This window comes from Homo sapiens, chromosome 6 (genome assembly GCF_000001405.40).
Source record: "Homo sapiens chromosome 6, GRCh38.p14 Primary Assembly".
Classification (NCBI taxonomy): Eukaryota; Metazoa; Chordata; class Mammalia; order Primates; family Hominidae; genus Homo; species Homo sapiens.
This window is the reverse complement of record NC_000006.12, coordinates 75,946,322-75,961,000: the sequence shown is the minus strand read 5'-3', so window position 1 is coordinate 75,961,000 and position 14,679 is coordinate 75,946,322. Positions and strand designations below refer to the sequence as shown.

The following is a 14,679-nucleotide window of genomic DNA, read 5'->3' as shown; positions in this document are numbered from 1 at the left end:
CTTGCCTTTGGACAGAACTCCAACCTGGAAAGTGACCACAATAGCTATATACTCTACATTTGGCAGCTGGACTTAGAAACAATGGACTGCCACATACACATACACGTAAACACACTCCATACCCTCACAGACCCACACACGCACTCTAGCATAACAGTTATTTTAAATCTTTTCATTTTGCATAGTTCAGAGTGAAATGAATGGCCTTGGCTTTTAGTGTTTGACTTTCCTATTGTAGTGCAAAAATACAATGTTGGACTGGTCTGTGTCACTACTATGTCTAATTTTTTCATATGAATTAGATGAAAACATGATTATTTAAAATACACTTACAAATAGTGATAAGGTTTGGATAATATTTTTCCAAAGGAATTGACTATAACCTTAGAAGCTTCAATCTCAAAACAAAAGAGAGTAGGAGTCTTTTAAAATCACATTTAAATAGGGTTGCTGGACTCAGCAAAGAAAAATACAAAATGTCCAGTTAAATTTAAATTTCAGATTAAAAATAATAATTTTTAGTAAACGTATGTTCCAATGAGCATCCTGTATTTTATCAAGCAACCCTATAATTAAATAGCAAATTGTTCCTTTAATGAATTAACTTGGTTAGGTTTATTGTGAATGTGAGGGATTAATATTAAGATGTCACAAAAAACATCTTTTTTTCGGCTGGCAAGATGGCCGAATAGGAACAGCTCTGGTCTGAAGCTCGCAGCAAGATCAATGCAGAAGGCAGGTGATTTCTGAATTTCCAACTGAGGTACCCAACTCATCTCACTGGGACTGGTTAGACAGTGGGTGCAGCCCACGGAGGGTGAGCTGAAGCAGGGTGGGGTGGGGCATCACCTCACCCAGGAAGCACAAGAAGTTGGGCAACTACCACCCCTAGCAAAGGGAAGCCATGAGAGACTGTGCCGTGAGGAACGGTGCATTCCAGCCAGATACTACGCTTTTCCCATGGTCTTCACAACCCACAGACCAGGAGATTTCCTCAGGTGCCTACACCACCAGGGCCCTGGGTTTCAAGCACAAAACTGGGCAGCCGTTTGAGCAGACACTGAGCTAGCTGCAAGAGTTTGTTTTTCATACCAAAGTGTTGCCTGGAACGCCAGCGAGAGGGAACTGTTCACTCCCCTGGAAAAGGGGCTGAAACCAGGGAACCAAGTGGTTTATCTCAGCAGATCCCACCCCCCATGGAGCCCAGCAAGCTAAGATCCACTGGCTTGAAATTCTCACTGCCAGCACAGCAGTCTGAAGTTGAACTGGGATGCTTGAGCTTGGTGAGGGGAAGGGAGTCCACCATTACTTAGGCATGAGTAGGCAGTTTTCCCCTCACAGCGGAAGCCACCAAGAAGTTCAAACTGGGCGGAGCACACTGCAGCTTGGCAAAGCTGCTGTAGCCAGATTGCCTCTCTGGATTCCTCCTCTCTGGGCAGGGCATCACTGAAAGAAAGGCAGCAGCCCCAGTCAGAGGCTTATAGATCAAACTCATATCTCCCTGGGACAGAGCACCTGGGGGAAGGGGGGGCTGTGGATGCAGCTTCAGCAGACTTAAACGTTTCTGCCTGCCGGCTCTGAAGAGAGCAGCAGATCTCCCAGTACAGCACTTGAGCTCTGATAAGGGACAGACTGCCTCTTCAAGTGGGTCCCTGAACCCTGTGTCTCCTGACTGGGAGACACCTCCCAGCAGGGGTCGACAGACACCTCATACAGGAGAGCTCTGGCTGGCATCTGGAAGGTGCCTCTCTGGGATGGAGCTTCCAAAGGAAGAAATAGGCAGCAATCTTTGCTGTTCTGGTGATACCCAGGAAAACAGGGTCTACAGTGGACCTCCCGCAAACTCCAGCAGACCTGCAGCAGAGGGGCCTGACTGTTAAAAGGAAAACTAACAAACAGAAATGAATAGCATTAACAACAACAAAAAGGACGTCCACACAAAAACCCCATCTGAATGTCACCAACATCGAAGACCAAAGGTAGATAAATCCACAAAGATGAGGAAAAACCAGTGCAAAAAAGGCTGAAAATTCCAAAAATCAGAATGCCTATTCTCTTCCAAAGGATCGCAACTTGTCATCACCAAGAAAACAAAACTGGACGGAGAATGAGTTTGACAAATTGACATAAGAAGGCTTCAGAAGGTGGATAATAACAAACTCCTCCAAGCTAAAGGAGCATGTTCTAACCCAATGCAAGGAAGCTAAAAACCTTGAAAAAAGGTTAGAGGAATTGCTAACTAGAATAACCAGTTTAGAGAAGAACATAAATGACCTGATGGAGCCGGAAAAAACAGCACGAGAACTTCGTGAGGCATACACATTAATGGGCGAATCGGTCAAGCGGAAGAAAGGATGTCAGAGGTTGAAGATCAACTCAATGAATAAAAGATTAGAGAAAAAAAAATGAAAAGGAACAAACAAAGCCTCCAAGAAATATGGGACTATGTGAAAAGACCAAACCTACATGTGATTGGTGTACCTGGAAGTGATGCAGGGGGCGAATGGAACCAAGTTGGAAAATGCTCTTCAGGATATTATCCAGGAGAACTTCACCAACCTAGCAAGACAGGTCAACATTTGAATTCAGAAAATATAGAGAACACCACAAAGATACTCCTCGAGAAAAGCAACCCCAAGACACATAATCATCAGATTCACCAAAGTTGAAATGAAGGGGAAAATGTTAAGGGCAGCCAGAGAGAAAGGTTGGGTTATGCACAAAGGGAAGCCCATCAGATTAACAGCAGGTCTCTGCAGAAAGCTACAAGCCAGAAGAGAGTGGGGACCAATATTCAACATTCTTAAAAGAATTTTCAACCCAGAATTTCATATCCAGCCAAACTAAGCTTCATAAGCGAAGAAGAAATAAAATCCTTTACAGACAAGCAAATATTGAGAGATTTTGTCACCACCAGGCCTCCTGAAGAAAGCAATAAATATGAAAAGGAACAACTGGTAACAGCCGCTGCAAAAACATACCAAATTGTAAAGACCATAGACACTACGAAGAAACTCCATCAACAAACGGGCAAAATAACCAGCTAACATCATAATGACAGGATCAAATTCACACATACCAATATTAACCTTAAATGTAAACAGGCTAAATGCCCCAATTAAAAGACACAGACTGACAAATTGGATAAAGATTCAAGACCCATTGGTGTGCTGTATTCAGGAGACCCATTTCACATGCAAAGACACACATAGGCTCAAAATAAAGGGATAGGGGAATATTTATGAAGCAAATGGAAAGCAAAAACAAAGCAGAGGTTGCAATTCTAGTCTCTGATAAAACAGACTTTAAACCAACAAATATCAAAAGCCAAAGCAGGGCATTACATAATGGCAAAGAGATCAATGCAATAAGGAGAGCTAACTATCCTAAATATATATGCACCCAACATAGGAGCAACCAGATTTATAGAGCAGGTTCTTAGGGCCTGCAAAGAGACTTAGACTCCCACACAATAATAATGGGAGACTTTAACACCCCACTATCTATATTAGACAGATCAACAAGACAAAACTAACAAGGCTATTCAGGACTTGAACTCAGCTCTGGGTCAAGCGGACCTAATAGACATCTACAGAACTCTCCACCCCAAGTCAACAGAATATACATTCTTCTCAGCACCACATAGCACTTATTCTAAAACTGACCACATAATTGGAAATAAAACACTCCTTAGCAAATGCAAAAGAACAGAAATCATAACAAACAGCCTCTCAGACCACAATGCAATCAACTTAGAACTCAGGATTAAGAAACTCACTCAACGGCTGGGCACAGTGGCTCATGCCTGTAATCCCAGCACTTTGGGAAGCCGAGGCGAGTGGATCACGAGGTCAGGAGTTCAAGACCAGTCAGGCCAAGATGGTGAAACCCCATCTCTACTAAAAATACAAAAATTTGCCAGGCATGGTGTCCAGCTCCTGTAATCTCAGCTACTCAGGAGGCTGAGGCAGGAGAATTGCTTAAACCCGGGAGGCAGAAGTTGCAGTGAGCTGAGATCATGCCACTGCACTCCAGCTTGGGTGACAGAGCAAGACTCCATCTCAAAAAATAAAAAAGAAAAAAAGAAACTCACTCAAAATGATACAACTACCTGGAAACTGCACAACCTGCTCCTTGAATGACTACTGGGTAAATAACAAAATTAAGGCAGAAATAAATAAGTTCTTTGAAACCAATGAGAACAAAGACACAATGTACCAGAATCTCTGGGACACAGGTAAAGCAGTGTTTCCAGGGAAATTTATACCACTAAATGCCCACCAAAGAAAGTGAGAAAGATCTAAAATTGACACCCTAACATCACAATTAAAACAATTAGAGAAGCAAGAGCAAACAAATTCAAAAGCTAGCAGAAAACAAGAAATAACTAAAATGAGAGCAGAAGTGAAGAAGATAGAGACATGAAAAGCACTTCAAAAAATCAATGAATACAGGAGCTTGTTTTTTGAAAAGATTAACAAAATAGACCGCTAACCAGACTACTAAAGAAGAAAAGAGAGAAGCATCAAATAGACAGAGTAAAAAATGCTAAAGGGGATATCATCACTGATCCCACAGAAATACAGACTACCATCAGAGCATACTATAAACACCTCTACGCAAGTAAAGTAGAAAATCTAGACAAAATGGATAAATTCCTGGACACATACACCCTCCCAAGACTAAACCAGGAAGAAGTTGAATCCTTGAATAGACCAATAACAAGTTCTGAAATTGAGGCAGTAATTAATAACCTACCAACAAGAAAAGCCCAGGACTGGATGGATTCACAACCAAATTCTACCAGAGGTACAAAGAGGAACTGGTACCATTCCTTCTGAAACTATTCCAAACAATAGAAAAAGAGGGCATCCTCCCTAATTCATTTTATGAGGCTAGCATCATCCTGATATCAAAACCTGGCAGAGACACAACAAAAAAAAATTTCAGGCCAATATCCCTGATGAACATTGATGCAAAAATCCTCAATAAAATCCGGACAAACTGAATCCAGCAGCACATCAAAAAGCTCATCCACCACGATCAAGTCAGCTCCATCCCTGGGATGCAAGGCTGGTTCAACATACGCAAATCAATAAACGTATCCCATCACATAAACAGAACCAATGACAAAAGCTACATGATTATCCCAATAGATGCAGAAAATGCCTTCAATAAAATTCAACAGCCCTTCATGCTAAAAACTTTCAATAAATTAGGTGTTAATGGAACCTATCTCAAAATAATAAGAGCTATTAATGACAAACCCACAGCCAATATCACACTGAATGGGCAAAAGATGGAAGCATTCCCTTTGAAAACTGGCACAAGATGAGGATGCCCTCTCTCACCATTCCTATTCAACATAGTGTTGGAAGTTCTGGCCAGGGCAATCAGGCAAGAGAAAAAAATAAAGGGTATTCAAATAGGAAGAGAGGAAGTCGAATTGTCTCTGTTTGCAGATAACATGATTATATATTTAGAAAACCCCATCATCCCAGCCCAAAATCTCCTTAAGCTGATAAGTCTCAGAATACAAAATCAATGTGCAAAAATCACAAGTATTTCTACACACCAATAATAGACAAACAGAGAGCCAAAGCATGAGTGAACTCCCATTCACAACTGCTACAAAGAGAATAAAATACCTAGGAATACAATTTACAAAGGATGTGGAGGACCTCTTCAAGGTGAACTATAAACCACTGCTCAAGGAAATAAGAGAGGATACAAACAAACGGAAAAACATTCCATTCTCATGGATAGGAAGAATCAAGATCTTGAAAATGTCCATACTGCCCAAAGTAATTTATAGATTAAATGCTATCCCCATAAAGCTACTGTTGACTTTCTTCACAGAATTAGAAAAAAACACTTTAAATTTCATATGGGACCAAAAAAGAGCCTGTATGGCTAAGATAATTCTAAGCAAAAAGAACAAAGCTGGAAGCATCATGCTACCTGACTTCAAACTATACTACAAGCCTACAGTAACAAAAACAGGATGGTACTGGTACCAGAACAGATACATAGACCAATGGAACAGAACAGAGGCCTCAGAAATAATGCCACACATCTACAATCATCTGATCTTTGACAAACTTGACAAAAGCAAGCAATGGGAAAATGATTCCCTATTTAATAAATGCTGTTGGGAAAACTGGCTAGCCATATGCAGAAGACTGAAACTGGACCCCTTTTTATACCTTATACAAAAATTAACTCACGATGGATTAAAGACTTAAATGTAAGAACTAAAACCTTAAAAACCCTAGAAGAAAACCTAGGCAATACCATTCAGGACATAGGCATGGGCAAAGACTTCGTGACTAATTCACCCAAAGCAATCGCAACAAAAGCCAAAATTGACAAATGGGATCTAATTAAACTAAGGAGCTTCTGCACAGCAAAAGAAACTATCATCAGAGTGAACAGGCAACCTATAGAATGGGAAAAAATTTTGGCAATCTATCCATCTAACAAAGGACTAATATCAAGAATCTACAAGAAACTTAAACAAATTTACAAGGAAAAAACAAACAACCCCATCAAAAAGTGGGCAAAGGATGTGAACAGACACTTCTGAAAAGGAGACATTTATGCGGCCAACAAACATATGAAAAAAAGCTCATCATCACTGGTCATTAGAGAAATGCAAATCAAAACCACAATGAGATACCATCTCACACCAGTTAGAATGACGATCATTAAAAAGTCAGAAAACAACAGATGCTGCAGAGGATGTGGAGAAATAGGAACACTTTTACACTATTGGTGGGAGTGTAAATCAGTTCAACCATTGTGGAAGACAGTTTGGCGATTCCTCAAGGATCTAGAATCAGAAATACCATTTTTCCCAGCAATCCCATTACTGGGTATATACCCAAAGGATTATAAATTATTCTACTATAAAGACATGTGCACAGGTATATTTATTGTGGCAATGTTCACAATAGCAAAGACTTGGAACCAACTCAAATGCCCATCAATGATAGACTGGATAAATAAAATGTAGCACATATATACCATGGAATACTATGCAGCCATAACAAAGGATGAGTTCATGTCCTTTGCAGGGTCATGGATGAAGCTAGAAACCATCATTCTTAGCAAACTAACACAAGAACAGAAAACCAAACACCGCATGTTCTCACTCATAAGTAGGAGATGAACAATGAGAACACATGGACACAGGGAGGGGAACATCACACACTGGGGCTTGTCATGGGGTGGGGGATTAGGGGAGGAATAGCATTAGCAGAAATACCTATTGTAGATGACTGGTTGATGGGTGCAGCAAACCACCATGGCACAGTTATACCTATGTAACAAACCTGCACGTTCTGCACATGTATCCCAGAACTTAAAGTATAATAAAAATATAAATAAATAATAAAAAGGGAAAAAAAGGATGAGTTCATGTCATTTGCTGGGACATGGATGAAGCTGGAAGCCATCATTCTCAGCAAACTAACACAGGAACAGCAACCCAAACACCACATGTTCTCACTCATAAGTGGGAGTTGAACAATGAGAACACATGGAGGGGAACATCACACACCTGTCGCACAGTAGGGGAGGGATAGGGGAGGTATAACATTAGGGGAAATAGCTAATATAGATGATGTGTTGATGAATGCAGCAAACCACCATGGCACATGTATACCTGTGTAACACACCTACATGTTCTGCACATGTATCCTCGAACTTAAAGTATAAAATTTAAAAAGATGTCACAAAGGGAAATGGCCAGAAATTTATTTTTGTTGATTGATGACATAATGTAGAAGCCTATTTTAAACAGGTTAAAGTCTACATAGTAAGAAAGGTGTGAGTAATGAAATGCTGGTGAAAGAGCAAAATGAAGACATCTATCATTGTGCTTCTTGCCAACTCTTATCACCCGCAGGAGCAGAGATCACATCATAAGAACACAGAATCAAATGCATTTCCCATGACACAAAAAAAGTCAAATCAAATCCTTTCAATTTATCATCCCAGATCTGTTTGTGGATATTTTAGTCAACTCAGACTTCCATAATGAAATATCATGGACTGGATGTCTTAAACAATAGAAATATATTTCTCACGGTTCTCATGACCAAGAAATGCCAGATCAAGGTGCTTGCAGATTTTATTCCTGACAAGGGCTCTCCTCCTGGTTTGGAGTTTGTTGCCTTCTTGCTATATTCTCACATGGCAGAAAGAGAGATCATCTCTCTTGAGTCTCTTCTTACAAGACCAGTAATTCCATTCATGAGGACTCCACCCTCATGACCTAATTACCTCCCAGAGACCCATGTCCAAATATCATCACATTGGGGATTAGAGCCCGAACATACAAGTTTTGCATGGACACAAACATTCAGCCCATAGCAATGGAGATTTTAATAAAACTTTAAGTGTATCTCCAGAGAGATCTTAGATATTAGGTAACATTATTTCTCACAATTGAGTGAATTATGAGTAGACACACGCAGGTACCCTCCCCAGGTGAGAGAAAAGAGGGTGCTTCTCTGAAATCTGGCATAACTCACCAACAGACAGGTTTTATTTTAAGAAAGTAATAAAACTAATATGATTCCAACTTTCAGAGCTGTTTATCACTTGGAGTTTCGGTTTTAGTAATTTCACCGTAGTAAATTAGCTGACTGAGAGTCCAGAGATTATATCTGCATCCAGACAGTCCATTTATCATGCTTAGCATTTGGATTTCAACAGAGCTTTCCTGCATATTTGCCAAAAGGCCACTGAAGAAATCACAAAAAGCTCCCTGTTTTGTTCACTTAATGCCTTAAATATCATCAGTGGCTCTGGATTTAGGTTTATTGGAATATTTTAATAATTCAACAATCTGTTTATCTGAAAGTTCCCACCACTTTCTCAGTTTAGAAATATTTATTTTCATTTTGTACCAAAAAAGGGGTAGGTTTTGATAGTTCAATGTGTACTTACCCAAGGTAGCAATGCAAAATGGTGGTAGAAATTGTCAGAGCGTAATAATGTAACTGTGGCAAAGGTTTTTTACTGTATTTTATTATTATTATTATTATTATTTTGAGACAGAGTCTCACTCTGTCACCCAGGCTGGAATGCAGTGGCATGATCTCGGCTCACTGCTATCTCTGCCTCCCAAGTTCAAGAGATTCTTGGGCCTCAGCCACCTGAGTAGCTGGAATTACAGGCGTGTACTACTACACCCAGCTAATTGAGAGGTTTTAAATATTAATAAACAGCAAGTTGTATGGTCAATGTAACATTCAAATTATATGTTCACCAATACCTTTATACTCCCAGTATCATTTTGCAAATTGACAAGCTATTCAATTAGATTACTCAATTTTGGAAAAGCATAATTTAAATTTCAAGTGGTAAAAATACCAAAACATCATTATTGTAACCAAAAAAATCCAATTGCATAAAATGCAGACTTGCATTATTGGAAAGTGAATAAAATTTCTGGGTCAAAACTGCACACCTAGTTGTCTGGGAGTTCTATACGGGGATGAGGGATCTAAATCTGTTCCAATGCCAGCTGCAGTTTGGCACCAATTGGTGACTTAGTCAGTTTGTACTACTTGGTTCCCAAGTGTATCGTGTCTGACTAGGCAGTAATTCCAGAAATTCTAGTTAACTGGTGCTCTTTTAGTCTCATATATCAAGAACTACTGGGCCTGAATAAAATGGGTACAGGGATCCACTCTTTGTCTCCCTAGGTTGGGACATAGTGCTGCCTGCCCTTTCTGTTCCAATTTCTCTTCTTTAAAAAAAAAAAAATGACTATTGAAATGATCTACGCAAATGCTATGTATTTTCTTAAGTTAAGCTTAATTTTGGATTTTCTTTTTTTCACTTTCTATTCTTTGGGGAATACTTGGACATAATGAAATTGTACTTCCTCCACAGACACTTCTTGGTCTCCACCTGCTATGGCCTCTACCTCCCTGTCAGAAGCTCCACCTTTCTTTATGGCATCAAGCATCTTCTCTCTGACTGATCAAGGCACCACAGATACAATGGCCACTGACCAGACAATGCTAGTACCAGGGCTCACCATCCCCACCAGTGATTATTCTGCAATCAGCCAACTGGCTCTGGGAATTTCACATCCACCTGCATCTTCAGATGACAGCCGATCAAGTGCAGGTGGCGAAGATATGGTCAGACACCTAGATGAAATGGATCTGTCTGACACTCCTGCCCCATCTGAGGTACCAGAGCTCAGCGAATATGTTTCTGTCCCAGATCATTTCTTGGAGGATACCACTCCTGTCTCAGCTTTACAGTATATCACCACTAGTTCTATGACCATTGCCCCCAAGGGCCGAGAGCTGGTAGTGTTCTTCAGTCTGCGTGTTGCTAACATGGCCTTCTCCAACGACCTGTTCAACAAGAGCTCTCTGGAGTACCGAGCTCTGGAGCAACAATTCACACAGCTGGTGAGTGGGCACTGCTCACAATTCCCAATTCTTTGTCTCTTCTTTCTTTGTTGTTATTTTATAATATAATTATTGGCTGTCTTGAGCAATTAGTGTTAGTAGAAACAAACCGCCAAGCCAGCTGTTGCTGAAGACATTCAACTAGAATTTTGAGATGAATTCAGATCCAACTGGGGAAGTGAGTTCTGTGATAGACAAATGGGAAGACACCGCCACCCAATCTGTAAGAACAAATTTGTTCTTAAACTCTTTTCATTATAATTCTCCCTAACTTAGTGAATCCAGGAATAATACATAACACTCAAGCACTGAACATGGAATCTAAAAATAGAGTGAACATTTTCTAAATTATATCAATCTCATGAAAGGGTACAAAGTTAGAATGGTCCAGCACAGATGAGGCTGAGAGTTCAGGAGTAAGGGTTCCTTTCTTAGTTCCCCTTAAGTTCTTGTAAACCTAAAAAATGACTAAGTGGTTTATCATTCCTGGTCCCTAACAAAGAAAGTGAAAAGATAATTATTATGACATATATCTTTGATAATAAGATACTCCCAAACTCACGTTTATTTTGTTTCTACATATACAATAAGAAATACATATACAATAAGAAATGTTGAACTATGTAATACCTCTATACATTCATGGTTAATTAAAATAAATTGTACATATCACACAGATGGCAGAATGTCTGACAATAAATAAAAAATTTTATACTTCATATAAGTTAAATTATTACACAAATTAAAATCCACATGAAACCCAATTTCTCAAGTGAACATTTGCTTTAAAGTAAGACTTTATCTGGGCTATCTCCCCACCCCACACCATTTATAATGAGGTGAGTAGATATTGGGAGAGTCTCAGGGAACAGAGTCCCTGTGAACCTGTTACAGAAAAGGGGTCCTAGTCCAGACCCCAAGAGAGGGTTCTTGGATCTCACGTAAGAAAGAATTCAGGGCAAGTCCACAGTGCAAAGTGAAAGCAAGTTTATTAAGAAAGTAAAGGAATAAAAGAATGGCTACTCCATAGACAGAGCAGCCCCGAGGGCTGCTGGTTGCCCATTTTTATGGTTATTTCTTGATGCTATGCTAAACAAAGGGTGGATTATTCATGCCTCCCCTTTTTAGACCATATAGGGTAACTTCCTGACATTGCCATGGCATTTGTAAACTGTCATGGTGCCGATGGGAATGTAGTAGTGAGGACGACCAGAGGTCACTCTCATGGCCATCTTGGTTTTGGTAGGATTTAGCCAGCTTCTTCACTGCAACTTCTTTTATCAGTAAGGTCTTTATGACCTGTGTCTTGTGCCGACTTCCTTTCTCATCCTGTGACTTAACTGTCTGGGAATGCAGCCCAGTAGGTTTCAGCCTCATTTTACCCAGCTCCTATTCAAGATGGAGTTGTGCTGGTTCACCTGCCTCTGACAAACTAACCATGGCATGTTAATTAGGGTTCATGCTAAGCTGCCATAATGAAGAGGTAAGAATATAGTGACTTTCATTCAGTACAAGTTTATTTCTCTTTCACTTGATGGGTAGGACAGCTTAGCTCTATGATGCCATTCAGGGACCCACACTTCTTCCATCCTATAGCTCTGCCAATACCAAGGGCATTTCCTCATTCACATGGTCAAAGCTGGGTCATTGGTACATCCCTGTTTCCACTTGTGAGAAGCAGAGAGGAAGCTGAGGGAAAGCAATTTTCTCCTAAGCAAAAGACACCAAAGTTGCCCACATCATATTAGTGGGAACTAGTCACATGGCCATCCTTGCCACAAGGGAGGCTGGAAAATGTGCTTTCTAGATCAGCAGCCTCTTTCTATGAGAAATAGGAAAATGGATTTGGGAGAAGCAGCACCTAGCTATCTGCACAGTAGGTGAAGACAGGGAATCTCTACCCCAGGCCAAAGCAATGCTAAGACACCAAGAATGAGGCTAGTCAAGTAAGTTCTGTCCTCATCAGGGGACAGTAACTTGAAAAGGGAAGTACCACGATTTGTTTAAAATTTCATTTTACTCACACAAAAACCTTGTGAGGGAAGTAACAGAATGTGGGACTGGGTCAGAGTCAAAATTGTGGTGGGGTGGGGACAGGGGCAAATAAAAAGGAGGTGTGGGTCACACCTAGGAGGTCGGCGCTTGCATCTCTATGCTTTCTGGGTTCACAGTACAATTCATGAATGAGGAGGCTCACTTTCAGAGCCAAGGACAAGGTGAACATCACTGAGTTTCAAACATTTCTGAAAAATGATCTCTAGGATGGCGTGGCTCACAGGAGGCAGATGTGGGAACCTGAAACACAATGCCATGGGGCATACTGTTGAGATTATGATAGTTTGGAAACGGCTCGCTGGGAGCCACTTTTTGTTCTTCCTCACAATTCAGATAAGGGCCCTGAGGTACAACACAGTGGTTACAGGGCTTGATAAAGGTCACATGGCTAGTTAGGGACAGTTCTAGGACTGGCACCCAAGTCTCCTAACTGCCAGTTTCCTGCTGTTTCCACTACACCACATTTGTGTTGGCCGGGAAATATTTACTGCGTAGAGAGACATGCTGATGTTTAAGTTGTTGTTTGTTTTAATAGGTCATTTCAAATTGGCTGCATCCAAATAGATGTCCCATTTACATAGACACAGGTCAGTCTGCTCCTGGGCTCAGTTTGGAACATATTTTTATTTACTTGGGTTTTTTTTTTTTTAATAACTGAACTTGGCATTCCTGCTTTGCTAATAGCATTGGCTCAGGTTTTTAAAAATCATCTGTTCTCACAATTCACCATGAAAAAAATCACAGCCATCCATCTCAATACACAGATAGAAAGGTGGAAATATGGGACTAATCACTGCAAATCAACCATTAAGTAGTGGCATTCTGGTCTCACATTAAATCCAAAAACAAAAATCAAAATAATAAAAAGGAACTAAAATATATGTCTCGGTTAATGAAAAGTGAGTGTAAGTGGAATTAGCAGCAGCTGAGCACTTAGAACACAGTTAAGAGGAAACCATCTTTTATTTTGCAGCTGGTTCCATATCTACGATCCAATCTTACAGGATTTAAGCAACTTGAAATACTTAACTTCAGAAACGGGAGTGTGATTGTGAATAGCAAAATGAAGTTTGCTAAGTCAGTGCCGTATAACCTCACCAAGGCTGTGCACGGGGTCTTGGAGGATTTTCGTTCTGCTGCAGCCCAACAACTCCATCTGGAAATAGACAGCTACTCTCTCAACATTGAACCAGGTAAAAGAATCCAACCCAGAAAGTGGTAGAGATGTTTTGTTCATTTTTTTAATTTCGTTCTGTTTTTAAGCACACGTTTCAATCTTTAGGCCACAAAAATCAAACTGAAATGATACCAGATGAAATAACCTTTTGGAAGCTATGGAGCACATCATTAGAAAGGTAGAGTCCAAAGACATGCAAGTTAACATTTTCCTGTATCAAAAAGCAATGAACAAGCACACCTCTTGTTGCACAATCTGAGAGCTTTAATTTTAAGTTTAATCAGAACAAAACTTTTGCTGTGTTTAAGAGTTTTTTTTAATGTAGCCCACAGCCAAGCTAATTTACATTCTGCTAGAAGTCAAAAGCACTTTCTCAGTGCTCTGCAACAACCTCGGGGCTTCCTACCTAAGCAATCTTTCAATCACAGTTCATTATCAGAATAGCTACTTCATCATGTAATTCAGGATCAGAGACAGCATTCTAAGGAAAGAAAAATAATCATTAGATAAAAATTCAAACTTGGAGAAAGTCACTTCGCCATCAACAAAAAAAAAGAAGAAAATAAATTTGCTTTTTGGTTGTATACTACAGATCAGCTTCCATGTGAAGATTAAAGCAAAGAGTTAGACAAGGAGAAAACTTTTAAAGACATGGGAGCTTAGCCCAAAGCCACACAAGAGAAAGCAAACATTTGCTCTGATAATAAAGCAAAGAGTGTGCACCATTGTAACCAGCTGTGACCAAATTGGGAACTGTTTTTACCATTAGTTTCAAAATTCTGTTTTCTAACCAATTGAAAGAAGTCCTTTATTCCCTGGGGTAAAAGTCAGGGAGGGCTCCTGATTTCTGCCAAAGCTACCTCCCAGTCAAATTCAAAACAAAGCTTCCTAATTGGCTATGAATTAGTGGAGTGAATCTTTAACACCCTCTCTGGCTCTCTGTGGACTAACAACGAAAGCAGAAGGAAGAGGCCATGGGCAAAATGCAAACCAAAAAGGCTCAGTGGG

The 14,679-nt window shown here is 40.2% G+C and overlaps 1 protein-coding gene across 2 annotated transcripts in view; it reads left to right on the top strand.

The window, feature by feature from the left end:
• IMPG1 (interphotoreceptor matrix proteoglycan 1) overlaps positions 1-14,679 on the top strand; it is a 151,549-nt gene that overhangs the window by 111,662 nt on the left and 25,208 nt on the right. For both annotated transcript variants that reach the window (NM_001282368.2, NM_001563.4), the window contains 2 exons: positions 9,907-10,439; positions 13,468-13,687. In NM_001282368.2, coding sequence (NP_001269297.1) covers positions 9,907-10,439; positions 13,468-13,687 — 753 coding nt within the window. The remainder of the gene's footprint in view (positions 1-9,906; positions 10,440-13,467; positions 13,688-14,679) is intronic.